Raw genomic sequence first — 26,788 nt, 5'->3', positions numbered from 1 at the left:
TCTTACCTTATAATGTAAATTTTGCTATTTGATTTTCACCTGAGTTGTTTCCTTTAATATGCAAATTTAAGGCTATTTAGCTGACAACTGCCTAGGGTTGTGAAATAAGTCATCAAGAATTTGAAAGTCTAAGATGGGAAAAAAAGGGTCTTTATAAGATGTAGTTCTGTTGGCATGCCTATGTCTATGTACTTACGGTTGTGTATACAATGTTTCACTATTGAAAATACATAAAAGAGCTCTAATTAATTGGCATAAGAAAATAAAAATGCTTGAATCAAATATTTTATCAGGAAAAGAGAAGACTAGTCAAATGCTTTTTCCAGTTTATGTAACTTGAGTGAAATCTGTAATAAATAAGCCAGCTTTAAAGTTATTTGTAAAGTAAAATTAGAAATGTCTTAAGAATTGCCAGTATACATTTTTGTTTGCATTTATTTATCAAGCAATTTCATACTTATCCCTGTCAAATACTATAAGGTGCCAATATTTGGCATAGGTGTTACAAAACCATAAACCCAGCCCAAGACAGAATAATCTTTGCTTATGTAATTTTTAATGCATAAGACATTAATATTGGTTTAATAAAAATAGCTACATCTTAAATTTAGTAAGATTACCATAACTTCTAATCTTGTGGCTTTAGGTGGTCTAGTCTACTGGCTGTAAGGTTTGTTTTGGGAAAGGACTGTTACCATCTTTGTTTCAAGGCTGAACTATAAACTGAGTTCCTCCAAAAGCAAGTCTGACCTATGCCCTGGAATGAACAAAGACAGATTGGAGGTTAGAAGATGGAGTCAGTTAGGTCAGATTTTTTCACTGTCTTAGTCATAATTTTGCAACAGTAGTTCTGAGAGGTGACAGCGTGCTGGCAGTCCTCACAGCCCTCGCTCGCTCTCGGCGCCTCCTCTGCCTAGGCTCCCACTTTGGTGGCACTTGAGCCCTTCAGCCCACAGCTGCACTGTGGGAGCCCCTTTCTGGGCTGGCCAAGGCCGGAGCCTGCTCCCTCAGCTTGCAGGGAGGTGTGGAGGGAGAGGTGTGAGTGGGAACCAGGGCTGCGTGTGGCGCTTGCAGGCCAGCTGGAGTTCTGGGTAGGCATGGGCTTGGCGGCTCCTGCACTTGGAGCAGCTGGCCGGCCCTGACAGCCCTGGGCAATGAGGGGCTTAGCACCCGGGCCAGCGGCTGTGGAGGGTGTACTGGGTCCCCCAGCAGTGCCAGCCCACCGGCGCTGCACTCGATTTCTTGCTGGGCCTTAGCTGCCTTCCCGTGGGGCAGGGCTCAGGACCTGCAGCCCGCCATGCCTGAGTCTCCCACCCCTCCGTGGGCTCCTGTGCGGCCCGAGCCTCCTTGACAAGCGCCATTGCCTGCTCCACGGTGCCCAGTCCCATCAAACACCCAAGGGCTGAGAAGTGCAGGCGCATGGTGCGGGACTGGCAGGCAGCTCCACCTGCAGCCCCGGTGCAGGATCCACTAGGTGAAGCCAGCTGGGCTCCTGAGTCTGGTGGGGCCTTGGAGAACCTTTATGTCTAGCTCAGGGATTGTAAATACACCAATTGGCACTCTGTATCTAGCTCAAGGTTTGTAAACACACCAATCAGCACCCTGTGTCTAGCTCACGGTTTGTGAGGGCATCAATCGACACTCTGTATCTAGCTACTGTGGTGGGGCCTTGGAGAACCTTTATGTCTAGCTCAGGGACTGTAAATGCACCAATCGACACTCTGTATCTAGCTACTCTGGAGGGGCCTTGGAGAACATTTATGTCTAGCTCAGGGTTTGTGAATGCACCAATCGACACTCTGTATCTAGCTACTCTGGTGGGGCCTTGGAGAACCTTTATGTCTAGCTCAGGGTTTGTGAATGCACCAATCGACACTCTGTATCTAGCTACTCTGGTGGGGCCTTGGAGAACCTTTATGTCTAGCCCAGGGATTGTAAATACACCAGTCGACACTCTATATCTAGATACTCTGGTGGGGCCTTGGAGAACCTTTGTGTCGACACTCTGTATCTAGCTAATCTGGTGGGGATGTGGAGAACCTTTGTGTCTAGCTCAGGGATTGTAAACGCACCAATCAGCACCCTGTCAAAACAGACCACTCAGCTCTACCAATCAGCAGGATGTGGGTGGGGCCAGATAAGAGAATAAAATCAGGCTGCCTGAGCCAGCAGTGGCAACCCGCTCAGGTCCCCTTCCCCACTGTGGAAGCTTTGTTCTTTCGCTCTTTGCAATAAATCTTGCTACTGCTCACTCTGGGTCCACACTGCTTTTATGAGCTGTAACACTCACTGCGAAGGTCTGCAGCTTCACTCCTGAAGCCAGCGAGACCATGAGCCCACCGGGAGGAACGAACAACTCCAGATGCGCCGCCTTAAGAGCTGTAACACTCACCGTGAAGGTCTGCAGCTTCACTCCTAAGCCAGCGAGACCACGAACCCACCAGAAGGAAGAAACTCCAAACACATTCGAACATCAGAAGGAACAAACTCCAGACACGCCACCTTAAGAGCTGTAACACTCACCGCAAGGGTCCGCGGCTTCATTCTTGAAGTCAGTGAGACCAAGAACCCACCAATTCCGGACACAGTTCCATAACTTTAAATGATGACTATTGCAGTTTTCATAAATAATCTAGGTAAACAATTAAAATAATTAGGCAAATGTAATGGGATAAATACATGTAGTCAAACTCATCATAATTTAGAATCTATATTAAATTAAATAATAGATATTTCATTATTTGGGTATTTTTCAATAAAAATATATGTTTAGGAACACATTCTTCCTGAAAAAAAGTGTGTCATTTTTAAAAGATGAATAATTTTTTTCTAATTCAAGGCCTATTTAAAGGTTATGTATAAAACAAGGTAAAAGGAACCAGAAAATAAGAGATGTAAAGAAAGTTATAAAAATAGAGGTTTTTTTTTTGTAAGAAAGCTTAAAGAGAAATATTTTATATGAGAAAGAATCTTGTATGGTAGATTTAGTCCTAGAATAAAATAACTGCTTGTTTAAGAAAGACTGATGTTCAGGACAAACCAGAAAGCCCAAACATGTCACGAACAGTCCATGTAAGTCAAATAAGAAGATTTAAAAAACAAAAACTTTTATATGATCAAGTTGTCTACTAATTAAAGGGAAATTATCATGGTCTTTCTAAAAAGTGGGTTTGATGTAACAACAACAACAACATTTATACACTAAATAATTGGTTGGAACAATAAAATTTTCTTGAGGAATTAATTTGCTCTTAATTATAAGATATTTGAATTTTTTTAACCCAAAATGTAACTTTTATTGCATCTCAACATTTTCAGTTCTCTCTCCCCTTTTAAAGGGTGCAAAATAGTAATGCTCTCCTTCAGCTCATATAAGTTTTTTTTTTCCTTGAGTTCTGTTTGTTATGGCCTGATGCTAACAATGCTTTCTTAAAGGTCTAAAGGAACTGTTTTCTTCCAATGTAATATTCTGTTCACTGCAGAAGGTCTTTTCTTTTGCCTTTTGGTAACTGGTCTAACAAATTTTACAGTTTATTGAAACAATTCCTATGCCATTATTATTGAGTTTTGATTTGCTTAGGAAAAAAACTGAGACTAAAAAAAATTTTTAAATTAAGATTATTACATCTGTGTATCTTTCTGTATGTGCTTTTAAAGTACCTGTGACATTGAGTTACAGGGCTTTGGCTCCTGGGTCTAAAAAGAACGCCAAGTCCTGCTAAATCTCAAACATTAACAGCAATTAAAGCCTCATCTTCTGGTAAAAGATGCTAATCAAATAAACTGCATTCCTGAGACACAGGGTCAGAAATTAAAGCTATTCCACTCCTCAAGGCCCAGGGACTATCACAGAAGAGGTGGGCATGTGAGATTGTAAGGGCTGATTTTGACAGATAAAATAAGTTCAGTTTCTCTATAAATTAATCATTAATGCCAAAGGCACACTGATGCAAGACCAGCATATGGGTCTCTATGTCAGATTACCAAGGTTTTCTTGAAGCATTAACTGACTCCTTAGTAAAGGTTATGAAGTTTATAAAAGACTCATGGAGGTTATCTTAAGGCCAAGATTAAAATGTTATAGACTGTCTAAACATTTTTAAAAACAAATTTAATTGGCTTCATGCTGTTTTTATCAGGGCTTATTGTTTGAAAAACTAAGTCTCCTCTCTCAAAGAATAAAGGTTTTCATCTTTTTTTGAAATCCTTGCATTATCACATTGGTCAAATGAATGACTTATTTTACAATAACCTGTGGTATCAAGTGTTTTAAATCTTTGATATTTGACAAACTTTCCAAAGTCAAATTATAAATTATGTCTTTTTCTGATCTAATTAATCCTTTAGGATACTAGATTCCCTAAAGCCCAAAAAAAGACACAATTTGACTTATTTGGCATAAAAATTATACAGAAAGCACTGTCAAATATGAAATGGTGTTTGGTCTTCTTTGGGCTGTGTTTGTATAAATATGTTATTGGTATGTGTTCCAAAGTTATGGAAAACTCCTATAATTCTGATATGACTTAATGTATATTATCAGTAATAATTATAATCATTATGTTAAATTATTGTGTGCAAGAGGTAACAAATTTCCTTGTCAATTGTGTTCTTGACTCTGGCTGCCCTAAAACTTTTTGTCTTTGACACAATTGTTGACTTGTTTTGGCCCTCTTTAAAAGGTGATTTTATAATTAGCTATAAAACTCTAACAGGTGCTCTTGAATACAAGTTTCTAATAACTCTGGAGATTGTGACACTGGAATACAAGAAAAACTTTTAGGACTCATGGAGAACTGAAATGTTTATAAATATCAACCAGAATAGGAATTAACTACATGGACTGAACTAATAGAAATCTGAAGTAACCTTTTTGACTTTTTGCTTAAAACGTTGGTGGTCCTTTTTTCAGGGTAAAGGAAATTTTTCTTCTAAGCTATTGATAGTTTTTAGCAATTTAGTATAATCCTATGAACAAAATTTGGAGCAAATTTTCTTCTCTCTACCTGATTTCTTCAGAATTTGGAAGCTATTTGTGGGTATTCTTAGCTTATGGCAATCCAGTTATTTGCATAAGTGCAATAAGAATCTGTTTTCCTTTTTAACAGGACACAATTGGAGAAACTGGTTATTTTACCAAGGCTTTGACTGGAATGGCGTGCTTTCCTTTAAGGAATCAAACTTGACTCATGCAGCCAATAAAAGCCCCTTAGGAAACTGGCCTCATATCTTGTCTATACAGTCCCTGTACAGGGTTCCTGACCTGTGGTAAGTAAAGAATGTCATGTTCTAACAGGCCCAGTAGCCCTATGTTTATCTTGGGACCTTAAGAGAAGAGGATCACCCAACTCACAAGTATTTGATGGTACAAATTATGGCTGGGATGAGCTATAAAAAAGCCTTATCTGGGATTCCTTCTATGGAACAAAGTTCCATCAAGGCCAATTTAAAAGCCTATGTAGAAAAATTTTTCTTGCTGCACTGTATACAAATAATCAGGGCAAGTATAATAAAGCAAAACTAAGTCCTATCATGATTTGTCTTTAGTAAAAATGGGAAACTAGAGAGAGAAAAATTGTTTAAAAAATATAGCATACCAAGACTAGATTCTAGTCTTGCCTAATGTTTCTCAATTTTTATTATTTTCTATGGTTTGAAGCAAATTCTAATTTTTCTCAGCTATAAGTCTTCAAAATAATGTTTTTATTATTTTCCCTTCATTTTCCCCCATTTTTCCTAATTTGGAATCACTGAAAACTAAGCTCTGCTTTTGTAAAGCCCTACAAACTGAAGCTAGACAACTTAAAGTTCAGAAGAAAATAACAGCAATCTATTTACATACATAAGCCACTTTCTTACCTGCCTACTGATATACAGACTTCAGAATAATGTGGCCTGTATCAATTTTCCAGGGTTGTTCTGTTTGTTGCTGTTTTTCTCCCTTCCTCCCCCTATTTTCTCTTCATAGGACATGAGACTTCAGAACCTGCAAAAATGAACTTTCCTAATAACTCAGGACCTACCCATCTGGGAATAAACCATGCTAGCCATGAGAGATCAGATGAAACCTGAGACCAGAGACTCGTTTTCTTCTAAAATGCTTTCTCCAAAAGATTCTAAAAAAGAAAATGGAGGAAATGTGAAAGGAAAATAAATCTTGGGGCTCCAAAATTACTAAGCTAAAGGGAAAAATCAAACTGGGAACTGCTTAGGGCAAAACTGCCTCTCATTCTATTCAAAGTCACCCCTCTGCTCACTGAGATAAATGCATATCTGATTGCCTTATTTGAAGAGGCTAATCAGAAACTCAAAATAATGCAATCATTTGTCTCTTATCTACCTATGACCTGGAAGCCCCCTCCCCACTTTAAGTCACCCCCACATTCACCTCAAGTTGTCCCACCTTTCAGGACTGAAGCAATGTTCATCTTACACATATTGATTGATGTCTCATGTCTCCCTAAAATATACAAAACCAAGCTCTTCTCCTACTAGCTTGGGCACATGTCATCAGGACCTCCTGAGGTTGTGTCACAGGAATGTGTCCTCAACCTTGGCAAAATAAACTTTCTAAATTAACTGAGACCTGTCTCACTCAACACAGAAGCAGGCAGGTTTTAAAGCAAGTTCTTAGAGACAAACAAAAAGACTTAAACTCCCACACATTAATAGTGGGAGACTTCAACACTCCACTGACAGTATTAGATCAGTGAGGCAGAAAACTAAAGACATTCAGGACCTGAACTCAACATTCAACCAAATAGATCTGATAGATCTCTACACAACTTTCCACCCCAAAACAGAATATACATTCTTCTCATTGCCACATGGCACATACTCTAAAATCAACCATGAAATCAAACATAAAACAATCCCCAGCATACGCAAAAGAACCAAAATCATATCAAATATACTCTTGGACCACAGGACAATAAAAATAGAAGATTAAAAGAAATCACTCAAAACCATGTTACATGGAAATCAAACAACTTGCTCCTGAATGATATTTGGGTAAATAATGAAAATATGGCAGAAATCAAGAACATGTTTGAAACTAATGAGAACAAAGATACAACATACCAGAATCTGTGGGACACAGCTAAGGAAATTTTAAAAGGGAAATTTATAGCACTAAGTGGCCACATCAAAAATTTAGGAAGATCTCAAACTAACAATCTAATATCACAACTGAAAGAATTAGAGAAGCAAGAGAAAACCAGCCCCAAAGTTAGCAGAAGACAAGAAATAACCAAAATAAGAGTTGAACTGAAGGAAATCAGGACATAAAAAACCACCCAAGAGATTAATTAATCCAGGAGTTTTTTTTTTAAATGAATAAGACAGGCCACTAGAGCTAGACTAATAAAGGTATAAGATCCAAATAAACACAATTAGAAATGACAAATAGGATGTTAACACTGACTCCATAGAAATAAAAATAACTATCAGGAACTACTATGAACATCTCTATGCACACACACAAAAAACAGAAAACCTAGAAGAGATGGATACATTCCTAGACATATACACCCTCCCAAGACTGAATCAGGAACAAACTGATTGCCTGGACAGACCAATAATGAGCTCCAAAATTGAACCAGTAATAGCCTACCAACCACAAAACAGGACGAGATGGATTCACAGTCCAATTCCATCAGATGTAGAAAGAAGAAATAGTACCATTCCTACTGAAACTATTCCAAAAAATTGAGGAGGGCCCCCTCCCTAACTCATTCTATGAGGTTCACATCATCCTAATACTGAAACCTGTCAAAGACAACAAAAAAGGAAAAAGCTTCAGGCCAACATCCTTGATGAACACTAATGTAAAAATCCTCAACAAAATACTGGCAAACCGAATCCAGCAGCACAAAAAGCAAATCCACCATTATCAAGTAGGCTTCATCCTGGAATACAAGGTTGGTTCAACATATGCAAATCAATAAATGTGATTCATCACATAAATACAACTAGAGACAAAAACCACATGATTATTTCAATAGATGCAGATACGGCTTTTGACATAGTTCAATATACCTTCATGTTAAAAACTCAATAAATGAGGTATTTAAAGAACATACCTCAAAATAGTAAGAGCTATCTATGACAAACCCACAGCCAATATCATACTGAATGGGGAAAAACTGGAAGCATTTCCCTTGAAAACTGTCACAAGACAAGGGTCTCTCTCTCACTACTCCTATTCAACATAGTATTGGTAGTCCTGGCCAGAGCAATAAGGCAAGATAAAAAAATTAAAGGCACACAAATAGGAAGAGAGAAAGTCAAATTATCCCTGTTTGCAGACAACATGATTCTATATCTGTAAAACCCCATAGTCTCAGCCCATAAGCTCCTTCAGCTGATAAACAACTTTGGCAAAGTTTCAGGATACAAAAATCAATGTACAAAAATCATCAGCATTCTTACACACCAACAAGAGCCAAGCCAAGAGCCAACTCAGGAATGCAAGCCCATTCACAACTGCCACAAAAAAAAATATGTAGGAATACAGCTAACCAGGGAGATGAAAGATCTCTGCAAGGAGAATTATAAAACGGTGCTCAAAGAAATCAAAGATGACACAAACAAATGGAAAAACATTCCATGCTCATGGGTAGAAAGAAACAATATTGTTAAAATAGCCATACTGCCCAAAGCAATTTACAGATTCAATGCTTTTCCTATCCAACTACCATTGACATTCTTCACAGTGCTAGAAAAAATGATTTTAAAATTCATATGAAACCACAAAAGAGCCCAAATAGCCAAGGCAATCCTAAGCAAAAAGAACAAAGCTGGAGGTGTCACCTTACCTGACTTCAAACTATGCTACATGGCTACAGTAACCAAAACAGCATGGTACTGGTACAAAAGCAGACACATAGACCAATGGAACAGAATAGAGAGGCCAGATTTAAGGCCACACACCTATAACCATCTGATCTTTGACAAAGCTGATAAAAACAAGCAATGAGGGAAAGAACCGCCCCAGTTCAACAAATGGTGCTAGGATAACTGGTTAGCAATATGCAGAAGACTGAAACCGGACCCCCTTTTTACACCATCTACAAAAAACAACTCAAGATGGATTAAAGACTTAAATGTAAAACCCAAAATTATAAAAACTCTGGAAGACAAGCTATGCAATACCATTCTAGACATAGGAACGAGCAAAGATTTCATGACAAAGATGCCAAAAACAATTGCAACAAAAGCAAAAATTGACAAATGGAATCTAATTAAACTTGAGAACTTCTGCACAACAAAAGAAACCATCAAAAGTGTAAACAGATAACCTGCAGAATGGGAGAAAATATCTGCAGACTATGCATCTGGCAAAGGTCTAATACCAGCATATATAAGGAACTGAAATTTACAAGGAAAAAACAACCCCATAAAGAAGTGGGCAAAGGAGATGAACAGACACTTTTCAAAAGACATACATGTGGCCAACAAGCATAAAGCTTGTCAGTGATACTGAAAAGCTCAATATCACTGATCATCAGAGAAATGCAAATCAAAACCACAATGAGATACCACCTCACACCAGTCAGAATAGCTATTACTAAAAAGTCCAAAAAATAGCAGATGCTGGCAAGGTTGCAGAGAAAAGGGAACACTTATACACTGTTGGTGGGAGTGTAAATTAGTCCAACCATTGCTTAAAGCAGTGTGGTAATTCCTCAAAGAGCTAAAAGCAGCACTATCATTTGACCCAGCAATCTCATTGCTGTGTATATGCCCAAAGGAATATAAATCATTCTACCATAATGACACCTGCACAAGAATGTTCATTGCAGCACTATGCACAATAGCAAATACATGGAATCAACCTAAATGCTCATCAATGACAGATAAAGAAAATGTGGTACATATACACCATGGAATACTATGCAGCAATAAAAAAGAATGAGATCATATCTTTTATGGGAACATGGTTGGCGCTGGAGGTCATTATCCTTAGCAAACTAACAGAATCAGAAAACCAAATACTGCATGTTCTCACTTGTAAGCGGGAGCTAAACAAGGAGAATTCATATACAGAAAGAAAGGAATAACAGACATTTGGGCCTATTTGTGGGTGGAAGGTATGAGGAGGGAGAAAAGCAGAAAAAAAAAATAACTATTGGGTACTAGGCTTAGTACCTGGGTGACAAAATAATATGTACAACAAACCCTTGTAATACGAGTTTACTATATAACAAACCTGCACATGTACCACTGAACCTAAAGAAATCTAAACAAAAGATGTTATCAAAGAATTAAAAATAACAGCAAAAAGGATAATGCAAGAATTAACCCAGAAAACCAAAGATTATAGATGTACAGAATACACTAGCCTGCAAACACAGCCACACAACTCAAAAGACAGCAGTTCAAGACAAACAGATAAACCTAGAAAGTCTGATAGAAAAGTTCTAATATGGAGAGACTGGTATGAAACAAACACAGAGGCCATAATCAGCAAAGTGGCCTTGAAATTTTCCTAGAATTGAATGATACTCTCTGTAAACAATGTGAAATGGTCAAGGTGCTATACAGTTTTTTGTTTGTTTTTAATGAGGAATTGAAGCCCACATTGTAAAAAGCAGAAATAATCCCAGGCAGTTTTGAAGATTAAAGAACCATTAAAAATTCTTATAATGAGATTTACTGAGATATAATTCACAAACCAGAAAATTCATTCTTTTAAAGTATAATGTTAAGTGGTTTTTAGTATATTCACAGAACCATACACTTGAAAGTTGGAAGAAACCTTAAAAATTATCTTACTGTTTCCCAAAGTATGCTCTCAGGAACCCTTCTAGCCCCACAGGCTGCTGTATAAATAGAAATTTTCCCGGTCAAATAAATTGGTTAAACACAGCACACCTGCATACTCTATATTCCCCTTGAAGAACTATAGGGAAAAACTAAAGTCCCTAAGAAGTTCCAGGATATCCCAATTAACCCGACACAGCATCTCTTTTCACGGAACATGTACTAACAGCCCATGAAATCAGGGCTCCAGAGAAGGTGCTTCAGAAAACCCTGGCGGGTTCCAATCCCCTGGCATTCCAGGTCAATAAAAAGAGCACGAGAGAAGTCCCACTGGCTTGACTGATATCTCACAGCTCTTTCAAACTGTCTGATATGAAAGCAACCATTGGGAAGTATATTTTTACCGTTTATGGCACAGCCAAAACCAGAAAACAGATCTCCAGACTTCTAGTCCAATGTTCGCTCTAAAACATGACACAGCAAAAACTGAAGCTCTGACACACTATGTCAAAAATTCCCATGGCTTCGTCCTCTACAAGAAACCACAGGGAAATGAGGACTACTAACTAAAGAAAGAAAGATATGCACAGATTTAAGGAGCCAGTGTGCCTGAACATTGTAAAGAAAATCTAATAGGAATCCTGAATGATAAAATGATAACAAAATTTCATAGAAAAGTTCAACAAGGAGTAAGTAAAAGTTAGAAACGCTATTTTCTGAAATTAGCCTCTATATCATCCCTCGACGGGAGTTCACCATATACCTATTAGCACTAGAAAAGTGAGAAAGAAAAAATACTTGGAACACGCACTGCATAGATATGTGAAACTAATATTTACCAGAAAAACTTGTAAAACAAGTAAAACTAAGATCATATTTTAACCTGATATAAGAAAAAGCCTTCCCCAAAATATGTAAGCAGAGACAGATACAAACAAGAATAAACAACACAACCTTGAAAGGCAACGGAAAAAAATACATATACGTCATGCACTCAATTACAGATGAGTGAAGAAGCTAAACTCCTCTATGAGAAAGAAATTCACTGGTTGGATTGAGAAACAAAATAGAACAATCTCCTTCCCACGTCACCCTATTCCACCTGCAAGCCCCATGGAGATCAGATCTTTTCAGTATATGTGGCTTTTCTCCATTCTGAGTTTGTATGCAGGCTCATCCCTCATGCCCTGAACATTTAAGAGCTGAATACTGTATGAAAATTACCTCTAACTGAAAACTCCTACTGACTCTTCAAGAAGCAGCCCAAACAGCCCCACTTCTGCGTCATCTTTCCCAGATGCAGGGGGTTGCATCATGGTTAAGTTTCGTGATTCTCTGTGTTCTGGTAGCCCTCTTTTTATGATTCTCAAGGGCCAGTGACCTCTGCATCTGCTACGTGTCTGCTGCCCATGCATCTGGACTGTCCCCAATGCACAGTGAGCTGCTGCTTCACTTTTTAGATCCACAGCCCTAAGAGCAGTCCCAGCTGTGCCAACACCATTACTGCCAACAACTGGGCACCCACTCTGAGCTTTGTACTGTACGCACCTCCTGGATTACCTCCCTGAATCCTAACAGCCAAACGCTGTCAGAGTACCACTGGGATCTCCATATCATTGAGGATGGAAGCAAGATTTTAAAGAAGTGCAGGGTCTTGTCCAAGGTCATTCGACCAGAGTGGAGGGGCTGGGACTCACCTCAGAAGTGGCCTCCAGAGGTGAGCCCTGACCCACGGGCTTCTGCCAGGCAGAGGACAAGGCCTCAGACAGAGTAGGCCTCACATACAGTTTATTGAATGACATAAGATTAATCATAATCAGATCATCAAGACACATCATAATGAACATTTAATAAAACCTTTAGGCTCCCAAACACTCTCAAGTGAAACAAATAAAGAAATCCAAGCCAAATTTCAAGGAATACAATCAAACCCCTAATTCTGGAACACTAATATCAAACTATTCGCTATCATAACAAAAGTGTTATGATAAAGCATTAAGACAAACTATAAAGAAAACTAAAAATAAAACAGAAATTAAAAAACAAGTTGATTTTAAAAAATCAAATCTCTCTTACAAAATATAATCAAAAGTTTAATCATAAAATTAAGAAAACACAATCACACACTTTAACATACCTGAAACTAGTATTCAGTTATATGTTTAGAAAGTATTAAGTAGAAGTAAAAATGGCAGATAGGAGGCAGGACTAAATTGCAGCTTCCACTCGGACAGAGCAGCATGTGGAGACTCGCATCATGAACTTTTGCTCCAGAGCTTCTGCAGGAATATACCGGGAAAGCTGAGAGAATCCACAGACCCTCTGAAGGAAGCAGATTGCTCCTGCAGGGCCAGGAGACAGCCAAATACCGTGAGTGCCCAAACTGTGAAAGTAGGAAAGGGGGATCATCCACCCCAAACACACACCTTAACTGGGAAACCCGAAGATAGAGATCACAGGAGAAGGATTTGACCTTACCTGCAATTGATTCAATTTAGAGAGCCGAGCAAAATACAGTAAGCAGTGGGAAAAGCCTTGTGGGTTCTCTGGGTCCCCAGGAAAGTCACCTCTGACTTATCTCACAGGGGTCCTTGAGGAGGGCTGCCAGAGGAACTGGGAAAAGGCCACAGGGAGAAGGAAACCTCCAGCTGAACTCTGTAACAATTCCAACCGAACGCAAAGTCTCCTGGCCAGAACACAGGGGAGGGCGTGAAACCCGTGTGCAGACTCGACAGGCAGGGAGGCATGAAAGCCCTGCTTGCTTTCTCAGCTGGGAGGCTGGTAGCCTGGGGCAAGTTCTCAGTCCTGTTCACACATAGCATGGAAACAAACTCAGTGCTATTGGAGAGGGCACAGTGGGACTGAGACTAGTCTTTTGGGTTGGGCGGGAACTGGGTGAGGCCTTAACTGCTGGCTTTCCCCAACTTCCCTGACAACTTGTATGACACAGCAGAGGCAGCCATATTCCTCCTGGGAATATGACTCCATTGATCTGAGAACCACACCTCCATCCCCTACAGCAACCACAGCAAGCCACGCCCAAGGAGAGTTTGAGCTCAGACACGCCTACCCTGCCACCACCTCATGGTCCTTCCCTACCCAGCCTGGTAGCTGAAGACAAAGGGCATATTATGTTAGGAACTCTAGGGCCCCACCTACCACCTAACCTTCCAGGTACTATCACAGCTGATGTTCTCCTGAAAGTGCCACCTCCTGGCAGGCAGCCAATCAGCACAAAACTAGTGCATTAAACAACCAAAACCAAGGACCCTCACAGAGTCCATTCCACTCCCCTGAAACCTCCACCACAGCAGGTGCTGGTATCCACGACTGAGAGACCTGAAGATGTTTCACATCACAGGACACTGTAGACAACCCACAGTACCAGCCTGGAGCCTGGCAGCCCTGCTGGGTAGCTAGGTCCAGAAAAGAAATAACACTCACTACAGTCAGACTCTCTCAGAAAGCCACATCCCTAGGAAAAGGGGGAAGTGCTACATCAAGGAAACTCCCTGTGGCACAAAAGAATCTGAACAGCAGCCCTGTGCCCCAGATCTTCCCTCTGACATAGCCTACCCAAATGAGAAGGAATGAGAAAAAAACTTCTGGTAATATGACAAAACAAGGTTCTTTAACATCCACCCAAAATCACACTAGCTCACCAGCAATGGATCCAAACCAAGAAGAAATCCCTGATTTACCTGAAAAATAATTCAGAAGGTGGATTATTAAGCTAATCAAGGAGGCACCAGAGAAAGGTGGAGTCCAATTTAAGGAAGTAAAAAAAAGTGATACAAGATATGAGAGAAGAAATCTTCAGTGAAATAGATAGCATAAATAAAAAAGAATCACAATTTCAGGAAATACAGGATGCACGTAGAGAAATGCAAAATGTTCTGGAAAGTCTCAGCAATAGAATCAAGCAAGCAGAAGAAAGAACTTCAGAGCTCAAAGACAAGGTTTTCAAATTAACCCAATCCAACAAAGACAAAGGAAAAAATAATACAAAAAAATGAACAAAGCCTCCAAGAAGTTTGGAATTATGTTAAATGACCAAACCTAAGAATAATTGGCATTCCTAAGAAGAAAAATCTAAAAGTTTGGAAAACATATTTGGGGGAATAATCAAGGAAAACTTCCCTGGCCTTGCTAGAGACCTAGACATCCAAATACAAGAAACTCAAAGAACACCTGGGCAATTCAGCACAAAAAGATCATCACCTAAGCATGTTGTTGTCAGGTTATCTAAACTCAAGACGAAGAAAAGAATCTTAAGAGCTGTGAGACAAAAACACCAGGTAACCTCTAAAGGAAAACCTATCAGGTTAACAGCAGATTTCTCAGCAGAAACCCTAGAATCCATAGATGGAATTCAGGCTCTATCTTCAGCCTCCTCAAACAAAACAATTATCAGCCAGGAATTTTGTATCCAGTGAAACTAAACTTCATAAAAGAAAGTTACAGCCTTCTTCAGACAAATGCTGAGAGAATTCACCACTACAAAGCCAGCACTATAAGAACTGCTAAAAAAAATAAAAAATAAAAAATAAAAAAAAAGGTTCTCAATCTTGAAACAAGTCCTGGAAACACATCAAAACAGAACCTCCTTAAAGCATAAATCTCACAGGACCTATAAAACAAAAATACAATTTAAAAAACCAAGTTATACAGGCAATGAATAGCATGATGAATGGAATAGTAGCTCACATCTCAATACTAACATTGAATGTAAATGGCCTAAATGCTCCACTTAAAAGACACAGAATTGCAGAATGGATAAAAATTCACCAACTACCTGTTGCCTTCAAGAGACTCACATAACACATAAGGACTCACATAAACTTAAGGTAAAGGGGTGGGAAAAGACATTCCATGCTAATGAACAGTGAGCAGGAGCAGCTATCAGAAAACAAGCTTTAAAGCAAAAGCAATTGAAGACAAAGAGGGACATTATATAATGATAAGAGGCCTTGTCCAACAGGAAAATATCACGATTCTAAATATATATGCACCTAACACTGAGCTCCCAAATTTATAAAGCAATTACTAACAGACTTAAGAAATGAGATAGAAAGCAACACAATAATACTAGGGACTTCAATACTCCACTGACAGCACTAGACAAGTCATCAAGACAGAAAGTCAACAAAGAAACGATAGATTTAAACTATACTTCAGAACAAACGGACTTAACAGATATTTACAGAACATTCTACCCCAAAACTGCAGAATATACACTCTATTCATCAGTGTACGTAACTTTCTCCAAGACAGACCATATGATAGTCCACGAAACAAAAGAAGTCTTAATAGATTTAAGAAAATTGGAATTATATCAAGTACTCTGTCAGACCACAGAATATAATTGGAAATCAATTCCAAAAGCAACCTTCAAAACCATACAAATACATGGAAATTCAATAACCTGCTCTTGAATGATCACTGAGTCAACAATGAAATCAAGATGGAAATTTAAAAATTCTTTGAACTGAATAATAGTGACACAACCTAGCCAAACCTCTGGGACACAGCAAAGGCAGTGCTAAGAGGAAAGCTCATAGCCTTAAATGCCTACATTAAAAAGTCTGAAAGAGCACAAATAGATAATCTAAGGTCACACCTCAAGGAACTAGAGAAACAAGAACAAACCAATACCAAACCCAGCAGAAAAAAAGAAATAACCAAGATCAGAGCAGAACTAAATGAAATTGAAACAAAACAAATACAAAAGATAAATGAAATGAAAAACTGGTTCTTTGAAAAGATAAATAAAACTGATAGACCATTAGCAAGATTAACCAAGTAAAGAAGAGAGAAGATCCAAGTAAGTTCAATTAGAAATGAAACAGGAGATATTACAACCGTAATTTTGTAATTTTGTATTACAGAAATACAAAAGCTCATTCAAGGCTACTATGAACACCTTTGTTCTATGAACACCTAAACTAGAAAAGTAGAGGAGATGGATAAATTCCTGGAAAGATACAACCCTCCTAGCTTAAATCAGGAAGAATTAGAAACTCTGAACAGACCACTAACAAGCAGTGAGATTGAAATGGTAACAAAAAAATTACCAACACACAAAAAAGTCCAGGACTAGATGGATTCACAGCTGAATTATATCAGACATTCAAAGAATAATTGGTACCAATCCTATTGATGCTATTTCACAAGACAGAGAAAGAGGCTATCTTCCCTAAATCATTCTATGAAGCCAGCATCACCCTAATACCAAAGAAAAGGATGTAACAAAAAAAGAAAACTACAGACTAATAGCCCTGATGAACATGGATGCAAAAATCGTTAAAAAAAATACTAGTTAACTGAAGCCAACAGCATATCAAAAAGATAATCCACCATGATCAAGTAGGTTTCATACCAAGATGCAGAGATGGGTTTAACATATGCAAGTCAGTAAGTGTGATAACCCACATTAACAGAATTGAAAACAAAAATCACATGATCGTGTCAACAGACACAGAAAAAGCACTTGACAAAATCCAGCATCGCTTTATGATGAAAACCCTCATCAAAATCAGCATAGAAGGGACATGCCTCAATGTAATAAAAGCCATCTATGACAAACCCACAGCCAACATAATACTGAACAGGGAAAAGTTGAAAGCATTCTCTCTGAGAACTGGAACAAGACAAGGATGCTCACGCTCACCACTTCTATTCAACATAGTATTGGAAGTCCTAGCCAGAGCAATCAGACAAGAGAAAGAAATAAAGGGCATCCAAATTGATAAAGAGGAAGTTAAACTGTTGCTGTTTGCTGATAATATGATTGTATACCTAGAAAACCCAAAAGACTCATCCAAAAAACGTCTAGAACTGATAAATGAACTCAGTAAAGTTTCAGGATACAAAATTAATGTACACAAATCAGTAGCTCTGCTATACACCAACAGCAACCAAGCCGAGAATCAAATCAAGAACTCCACCCCTTTTACAAGAACTTCAAAAAAACAAAAAACAAAACGAGCAAACAAACAAACAAAAAAACTTAGGAATATACCTAACCAAAGAGGTAAAAGACCTCTACAAGGAAAACTACAAAACATCGCTGAAAGAAATTATAAATGAAAAACAAATGGGATCACATCCCATACTCTCAGATGGGTAGAATCAATATTGTGAAAACGACCATACTGCCTAATCTCCAAATTCAGTGCAATACCCATCAAAATATCACCATCATTCTTCACAGAACTAGAAAAAACAATCCTAAAATTTATATGGAATCAAAAAAGAGCCCACATAGCCAAACCAAGACTAAACAAAAAGAAGAAATCTGGAGGCATCACATTACCTTATTTCAAACTATACTATAAGGCTATAATCACCAAAACAGCATGGTACTGGTATAAAAACAGGCACATAGACCAATGGAACAGAGTAGAGAACCCAGAAATAAACCCAAATAATTACAGCCAACTGATCTTTGACAAAGCAAACAAAAATATAAAGTGGGGAAAGGGGACTCTATTTGACTATTGGTGCTGGGATAATTGGCTAGCCACATATAGGAGAATGAAACTGGATCCTCATCTCTCACCTTATACAAAAATCAACTCAAGATGGATTAACAGACTGGGTGTGGTGGCTCATGCCAGTAATCCTAGCATTTTGGGAGGCCAAGGCAGGCAGATCATTTGAGGTCAGGAGTTTGAGACCAGCCTGGCCAACATGGTGAAATCCTGTCTCTACTAAAAATACAAAAATTAGCTTGGTGGGGTGGCACACATCTGTAATCCCAGCTACTCGGTAGGCTGAGGCAGGAGAGTCACTTGAACCTGGGAGGCGGAGGTTGCAGTGAGCCAAGATCGCACCACTGCACTCCAGCCTGGGTGACAGAGTGAGACCCTGTCTCAGAAAAAAAAAAAAGGCATTAGCTACTTAAATCTAGGATCTGAAACTATAGACATTAACTTAGGCAAAGATTTCATAACCAAGAACCCAAAAGCAAATGCAATAAAAGCAAAGATAAATAGGTGGATCTTAATTAAACTAAAGACATTTTGCACAGCATAAGAACAGTCGGTAAACAGACAATCCACACAGTGGGAGAAAATCTTCACAATCTATACATCTGACAAAGGACTAATACCCAGAATCTACAAGGGACTCAAATTAGCAAGAAAAAAAGATAAAACAATCCCATCAAAAAGTAGGCTAAGGATACGAACAGACAATTCTCAAAAGAGGATATACGAATGGCCAAAAAACATACGAAAAAAATACTCACATCACTAATGATCAGGGAAATGCAAATCAAAACCACAATGTGATACCACCTTACTTCCACAAGAATGGCCATAATCAAAAAAATCAAAAAATAATAGATGTTGGTATAGATGCAGTGAAAAGGGAACACTTCTACACTGCTGGTGGAAGTGAAAACTAGTACAACCGCTATAGAAAACAGTGTGGAGATTCCTTAAAGAACTAAAAGTAGAACTACCATTTGATCCAGCAATCCCACTACTGGGTATCTACCCTGAGGAAAAGAAGAAATTATATGAAAAAGATAGTTACACACGTTTATAGCAGCACAATTCGCAATTGTAAAAATGTGGAACCAGCCTAAATGTCCATCAATCAATGAGTGGGTAAAGAAACTGTGGCACGTATATATGATGGAATACTACTCAACCATAAAAAGGAATGAATTAATGGCATTCACAGCAACCTGGATGGGATTGGAGACTATTATTCTAAGTTACTCAAGAATGGAAAACTAAACACTGTATGCTCACACTCGTATGTGTGATCTAAGCTATGAGGATGCAAAGGCACAAGAATTATACAATGAACTTTGGGGATTTGGGGGAAAAGAGGGGGAAAGGGGTGAGGGATAAAAGACTACAAATTGGATTCAGTGTATACTGCTTGGGTGATGGGTGCACCAAAATCTCACAAATCACCATGAAAGAACTTACTCATGTAACCAAATACCACCTGTTCCCCCAAAATCTATAGAAATAAAAATTTTAGAAGAGCAATAAAAAGTAGAAGTAGAAAACTACAATATAAAACTAAAATGGATATAAATATATATTAACATTATAAAAGAAATAAGGGAAGTTACTAAAGAATTTATTTCAAAAGGGTATTTAACAGCAATAAGTCACAGCAGAATTATTTCAAATGTTTAATGGCAGTTTCATTACTTTATGTGATTTTCTTCTCCAAAATGTAAAACAGATATGCTTTTAACCAAATCATTAAAAATAAATCAAGTTTATTTCTAAAACTAATAAGAATAAGCCCTCAGAAATATTTATATTTATATTCATATTTAAATATGTATACCTGTTATTTGCTAATAAGTTACATATTTACATATGTCTGTTATTTGCTAATAAGTTACATATATGTTATATATTGCAACAGTGTTACGGATTGAATGTTTGTGTTTCACAAAATTGATATGTGAAATTATAACCCTCACTGTGATTTTTATATTAGGTGGTAGGAGTTCTGAGAGGTAATTAAGGCATGAGAGTGGAGCCCTCATGAATGGAGTTTGTGCTCTTATAAGAGATCTCCGAGAGCTCTCTAGTCTTCTTTCCACCATGTGAAGACACAGTGAGAAGCCATCATCTGTGAACCAGGAAGTGATCCTCACTAGACACCCAATCTTTTGGCACCTTGATCTTACACTTGCCAGCCTCCATAACTGTGAGATATAAATGTTTGTTGTTTCAGCCACCCAATCTATGGTACTTTGTTATAATAGCCCAAGCTAAGACATATATATATACACACACACACACATACACACACACACACATAACATATATATGTTATATATATATACACACATATAACATATATATGTTATATATATTAGCCACGTGATGTACTAGAAAAAACACTGGATTAAGAAAGCAAGTCTGAATTCTAGGTCTTCCTTAATCCTTAACTATGTACACTTATACAAAGTACTTACCTTATACAGACCCCTGTTTGCTATATACAAGGACAGATTTATGCAAAAAAATTTACAAAGCCTAAATGGGAGAAATAAAAAGTGACATGACTCAGTGAAGAGATGTCCTCAATAACTAAATAAGAAATATTATAAACATAGTATCAATTTAAATTTCCCCATAATATACAGTGCCTGAGCAATGGATAGTTGTATATATGTGAGAGAACAAGTGGAGGCAATAATGATGTATTTGTTCTACTTAAGACATACGTGGGGTCTTTAAAATGGCCATAGAAAATGTATATTATAATAAAACTATGCAGGGATTTCAAAAATGTTTTACACCAAAGTAAACTCACACTTGTTATAACATGTCTGAACAGGGTCTAGTCTGAGGTACTAAGAAGGATAAGACGTCAGTTTGAAAAGAGCCCCTATCAGAGCAACATGAATTCTGCCAAAATGGAAACAAGAACAAACATCGAATTTATGGGGTAGCTTGGGCAAAAGAATGGTGAAATCAGTGATGCTTTACAAAAAGTTTATGGGGGCAATGCCCCAAATAAATCAGTAGGTTGCAAATGGATAACTAATTTTAAGAAGGGCCAAGATGATGTTGAAGATGAAGTCTGCAGCATCAGCCCATCCACACAGATATGCAAGGAAAAAATTAATCTTGTTTGTGCCCTAATTGATGAGGACGAATGATTAACAGCAGAAACAACATGATGGACATATCAATTGATCCAGCTTACACCATTCTTACTGGAAAATTAAAGCTGAGCAACTTTCCACTCAACGGGCACCAAAACCACTGCATCCAGATCCACTGCAGACAAGAGCAGAGCTTTCAATGGAAATGTTAAACGAGTGGGATCAAGATCCTGAGCACGTCTTTGAGGAACTGTAATAGGAGATGGAACACGGCTTTACCAGTATAACCCTGAAGACAAAACACAATCTAAGCAGCAGTTACCAAGAGGCAGAAGGGGTCCAGTTAAAGCAAAAGCAAACCAGTCAAGAGCAAAGGTCATGGCCACAGGTTTTTGGAATGCTCAAGGCATTTTGCTTATTGATTTTCTGGAGGGACAAAGAATGACAACATCTGCTTACTTATGAAATTGTTTTAAGAAAGCCAAAAGTTTAGCAGAAAAATGCCTTCGTGATGAAAAATCCTCAACAGACTAGGCATCCAAAGAATATATCTAAAGATAATAAGAACCATCTATGAAAAACCCACAGCCAACATCATTCTGAATGGGCAAAAGCTAGAACCATTCCCTTTGAGAACTGGAATAAGGCAAGGAAGCCCACTGTCACCACTCCTATTCAACAGAGTACTGGAAGTCCTACCCAGAGCAATCAGGCAAGAGAAAGAAAGAAAAGGCATCCAAGTAGTAAAAGAAGTGAAACCATCTCTCTTTGCTGATAATATGATTCTGTACTTAGAAAATGCTAAAGACTGCCACAAGGCTACTAGAACTGATAAATGATTTTAGCAAGGTTTCAGGATATAAAATCAATGTATAAGAATCAGTAGCATTTCCATACACCAATATATCCAGGCCGAGAGTCAAATCAAAAACAATCCCATTTACAACAGCTACAAAGAAATTTAAATCCCTAGGAATACAGCTAACCAAGGAGGTCAACGATCTCTACAAGGGGAACTACAAAACACTGCTGAAACTAATCGGAGATGACACAAATAAATGGAAATACCCGTCATATTCCTTGTCATATTCCTGGATTGGAAGAATCAATATCATTAAAATGGCCATACTGCCCAAAGAAATTTACATATTCAACACTATTCCTATGAAACTACCAAAAAACTTTTCTAAAATTCATATGCATATTAGGCTGTTATCACATTGCTAAAAGAAATACTTGAGACTGGGTAATTCATTAAAAAAACAGGTTTAATTGGCTCACAGTTCTACAGGCTGTACAGGGAGTATGACAGCATCTGCTTCTGGGGAAGTAATAGGGAGTATCTACTTATGTCAGAAGGCAAAGCAGGATTAGCCATCTTACATGGCAGGAGCAGGACCAAGAGAGAGATGGGGGAGGTGCTACACACTTTTAAACAACCAGATCTTGTGAGAACTCACAATCACTGGAAATGATAATTGGACATGAAATTTGGTGGGAACACAGATCCAAACCATATCAATATGGAAAAACAACAAAAAAGCCTTAATAGCCAATGCAATCCTAAGCAAGAATAAAGCCTGAGGCATTACACTATACAACTTCAGACTACACTATAAGGCTACAGTAAGCAAACAGCATGGTACTGGTACAAAATCAGACACACAGACCAAAGGAACAGAATAGAAAACTCAGAAATAAAGCCACACAACTGTAAGAATCTGATCTACAAGGCTGACAAAAACAAGCAATAGGGAAAGAACTCCCCATTCAATAAATGGTGCTGGGGTATCTGGCTAGCCATATGCAGAAGAATGAAACAAGATCCTTATCTTTCACCATATAAAAAAATTAACTCATGATGGATTAAAGATTTAAATCTAAGACCTCAAACTATAAAAATCCTAGAAGAAAACCTAGGAAATGTCACTCTGGACATTGGCTTTGGCAAAGAGTTTTTGTCTAAGTCTCCAAAAGCAATTGCAACAAAACCAAAAATTGACAAGTGGGACCTAGTTAAACCAAAGACCTTCTGCAAAGCAAAAGAAACTATCAACAGAGTAAACAGACAACCTACAGAATGGGAGAAAATATTCCAAACTGTGTATCCAATAAAGGTCTAATATCCAAAATCTATAAGAAATTTTAACAAATCAAGCAAAATGCAAATAACCTCATTAAAAACTGGGCAAAGGACATGAACGGACATGTTTCAAAAGAAGCCATACGTAAGTGGCCTACAAACATATGAAAAAATACTCATTATCTCTAATCATGAGAGAAATCCAATTCAAAACCACAATGAGATACCATCTCGCACAAGTCAGAATGGCTATTGTTAACAAGTCAAAAACCAGTGGATGTGGAGAAAAGGGAATGCTTATAAACTGTTGGTGGGAATGTAAATTAGCTCAGTTACTGTGGAAAGCAGTTTGGAGATTTCTCAAAGAACGTAAAACAGACCTACCATTCAACCCAGCAATCCCATTACTGAGTATATAGCCAAAGGAATACAGATCATTATGCCAAAAAGACACATGCACTCATACGTTAACTGCCATGCTATTCACAACAACAAAGACTTGGAATCAACCTAGGTGCCCATCAGTGGTGGACTGGATAAAGAAAATGTGATGCATATACACCATGAAATGTTACACAGCTTTAAAAGAGAGTGAAATTACGTCATTTGCAGCAACACAGATGGAGCTGGAGGGCCTAATCCTAAGCAAATTAACACAGGAACAGAAAACCAAATACCGCACATTCTCACTTACAAGTGGGAGCTAAACATGGAGCACACATGGACATAAACATGGGAAGAGTAGACACTAAGGACTGCTAGAGGGAGGGAAGTAGGGAGAGAGGCATGACTTGGTAAACTACACATTAGGTACTATGCTCACTACCTGGGTGCAATATACCTAAAACTTGCACATATATCCCCTGTATCTAAAATCTAAAATATAGGTTGAAATGTAAAAACACACAAAATACCAAAACATATGAGATGCAGTTAAAGCAGAGCTTAGATGAAATTTATAGCTGTAAATGTCTAATTAAAAAAGAAGAGATAATGATAAATCTCAAACCAGTAGTGTTCCTTTCCACCTTAAAAAAGCAGAAAAAAGAAGTGCAAAGTAAACACAAAATATTCACAAGGAAGGAAATAATATTGGAGCAAAAATACATAATATAGAAAAGAGGAGAACAGAAAAAATCCACAAAATTTTTCTCTGAAGAAATTTTTAAGATGATAAATTTTATTAGACTGGCCAAGAGAAAACAGAGAGGAATCAAATTACTAGGATTAGGGATGAAAGAGGGGTTGACACTACAAGGTCTACAGAAATAGAAAGGATTATGAAGGGGATACTATGGACAAGCACATGCCAAAAATTAGATAACTTAGATGAATGGAATTTCTATAAAAACACAAAGTACTGAAAGAGTGAACTCAAGAAAAAATAAAAAGCCTAAAGAGAGCTATAACAAGAAATGAATTTAAATTAAAACATATAACACACACACACACACACACACACACACACACACACACACACACACACACACACAAAACAACCCAGGAATGGATTGTTTCAAAGGTGAATTCTAACCAACATTTTAAAAAGATTTAAAACTAATATTCATAAACTCTTCTGAAGAAAGAAGGGGTGAACACTTCCAAACTCATTCTAAGAGGCCAGTATTACCCTGATACTAAAACTAGGCAAAGACATTATAAGAGAAGAAGACTACAGATCAATGTCTCTAATCTATATAGATGCAAAAATCATAAAAATTAAAATAGCAAACTGAAACCAGCAATGTATAACAAGGATTATACACCATGACCAATGGAAATCTATTCCAGGAATGTAAGGTATGTTCAAATATATGAAAAATCAATATAATATACCACATTAAAAGCATAAAGAAAAAAAACCTCATGATCATTTCAATAGACACAGAAAAATATTTGACAAAAATCCAACATATTTTCATAATAAAAACACAAAACAGCCAGGCGCGGTGGCTCACGCCTGTAATTCCAGCACTTTGGGTGCCTGAGGTGGGCAGATCACCTGAGGTCAGGAGTTCGAGATTAGCCTGGCCAACATGGTGAAACCCCATCTCTACTAAAAATACAAAAAGTAGCCAAGTGTGGTGGTAGGCATCTGTAATTCCAGCTACTCAGGAGGCTAAGGCAAGAGAATTGCTTGAACTCTGGAGGTGGAGGTTGCAGTGAGCTGAGATTGCACCACTGCACTCCAGACCGGGCAACAAGAGGGAGACTCAATTTCAAAAAAAGTCCGGGTGTGGTGGCTCACACCTGTAATCCCAGCACTTTGGGAGGCCAAGGCAGGCAGATCACAAGGTCAGGAGTTCGAGACCAGCCTGGTCAACATAGTGAAAAGCCATCTCTACTAAAAATGCAAAAAATTAGCCAGGCATGGTGGTGTGTGCCTGTAATCCCAGCTACTTGGGAGGCTGAGGCAGGAGAATCACGTGAACCTGAGGGCCAAGGTTGCAGTGAGCCGATATCGTGCCATTTGCACTCCAGCCTGGCGACAGTGTGAGACTATAAAAAAAAAACCCACACAAAACAAATTAGGAATCAAAGAAAACTGCCTTAAACTGATAAAAGTCATCTACAAAAAATGTAGAGCTAACATCATATTTAATGGTGAAAGATGGAAAGCATTCCCCCTAAAATCAAGAACAAGACAAGGATGTCAGCTCTCAACATAGCAGCATCATACTGAAAGCTCTAGCCATAGCAATTAGGGAAGGAAAAGAAATATAAGTCATCAGATTGGACAGAAAGAAATAAAATTATCTGTATTTTTAGATGACATGATTTTGTATATAGAAAATCATAGCTGGGGATGGTGGCACATACTTGTAGTTCCAGCTACTCAGGAGGCTGAGACAGGAGGGTCGCTTGAGCCCAGGAGTTCAAGGCTGTAGTGTGCTATGATCATGCCTGTGAATAGCCATTGCATTCCAGCCTGGGCAGCACAGTGAAACCCAACTCAAAAAAAAAAAACGGGAAAAAAAGAGAAAATCCTAAGAAACCCAAAAAATTATTAAAGCTGATATGAGTTCAGCCAGGTGGCAGAATACAAGACATACAAAAATCATTTATATTTCTGTACATTAGCATTAACTATTCTGAAAAAGAAATTGATAAAAAAAATCCAATTACAACACCATAAAATAGAATAAAATGCATAGGAGTAAATTTAAAGAATCCAACCATACCCAGAAACTACAAAACATTACTTTTTTTTTTTGTAACACATGTACAATGTAATAAAACATTGTGTTTTTATTATGAAATAAATTAAAGTAGATCTAAGTAAATGGAAAGACATTCCTTCATTGGTTAAATAACTTAATATTAAAATGTCAATATTCTGCAATTTG

The 26,788-nt window shown here is 38.0% G+C and overlaps 1 pseudogene across 1 annotated transcript in view, besides 1 other annotated feature; it reads right to left on the bottom strand.

The window, feature by feature from the left end:
- TPRXL (tetrapeptide repeat homeobox like (pseudogene)) overlaps window positions 1-26,788 on the bottom strand; it is a 128,678-nt pseudogene that overhangs the window by 35,077 nt on the left and 66,813 nt on the right. The gene's annotated exons all lie outside the window — the stretch shown is intronic.
- Window positions 12,711-13,910: an enhancer, noted in NCBI's record as "P300/CBP strongly-dependent group 1 enhancer chr3:14058498-14059697 (GRCh37/hg19 assembly coordinates)". NCBI's record gives its function as "activates an origin of replication core promoter dependent on BRD2, BRD4, P300/CBP, MED14 and CDK7 cofactors, with strong dependence on P300/CBP, by STARR-seq in HCT116 cells {active_cell/tissue: HCT116}" and the evidence as "EXISTENCE:reporter gene assay evidence [ECO:0000049][PMID:35650434]".

The sequence above is a fragment of the Homo sapiens genome, chromosome 3, assembly GCF_000001405.40.
Source record: "Homo sapiens chromosome 3, GRCh38.p14 Primary Assembly".
Taxonomy (NCBI): domain Eukaryota; kingdom Metazoa; phylum Chordata; class Mammalia; order Primates; family Hominidae; genus Homo; species Homo sapiens.
The sequence above is the reverse complement of the archived record's forward strand: the minus strand, read 5'-3'. Positions and strand labels throughout refer to the sequence as shown.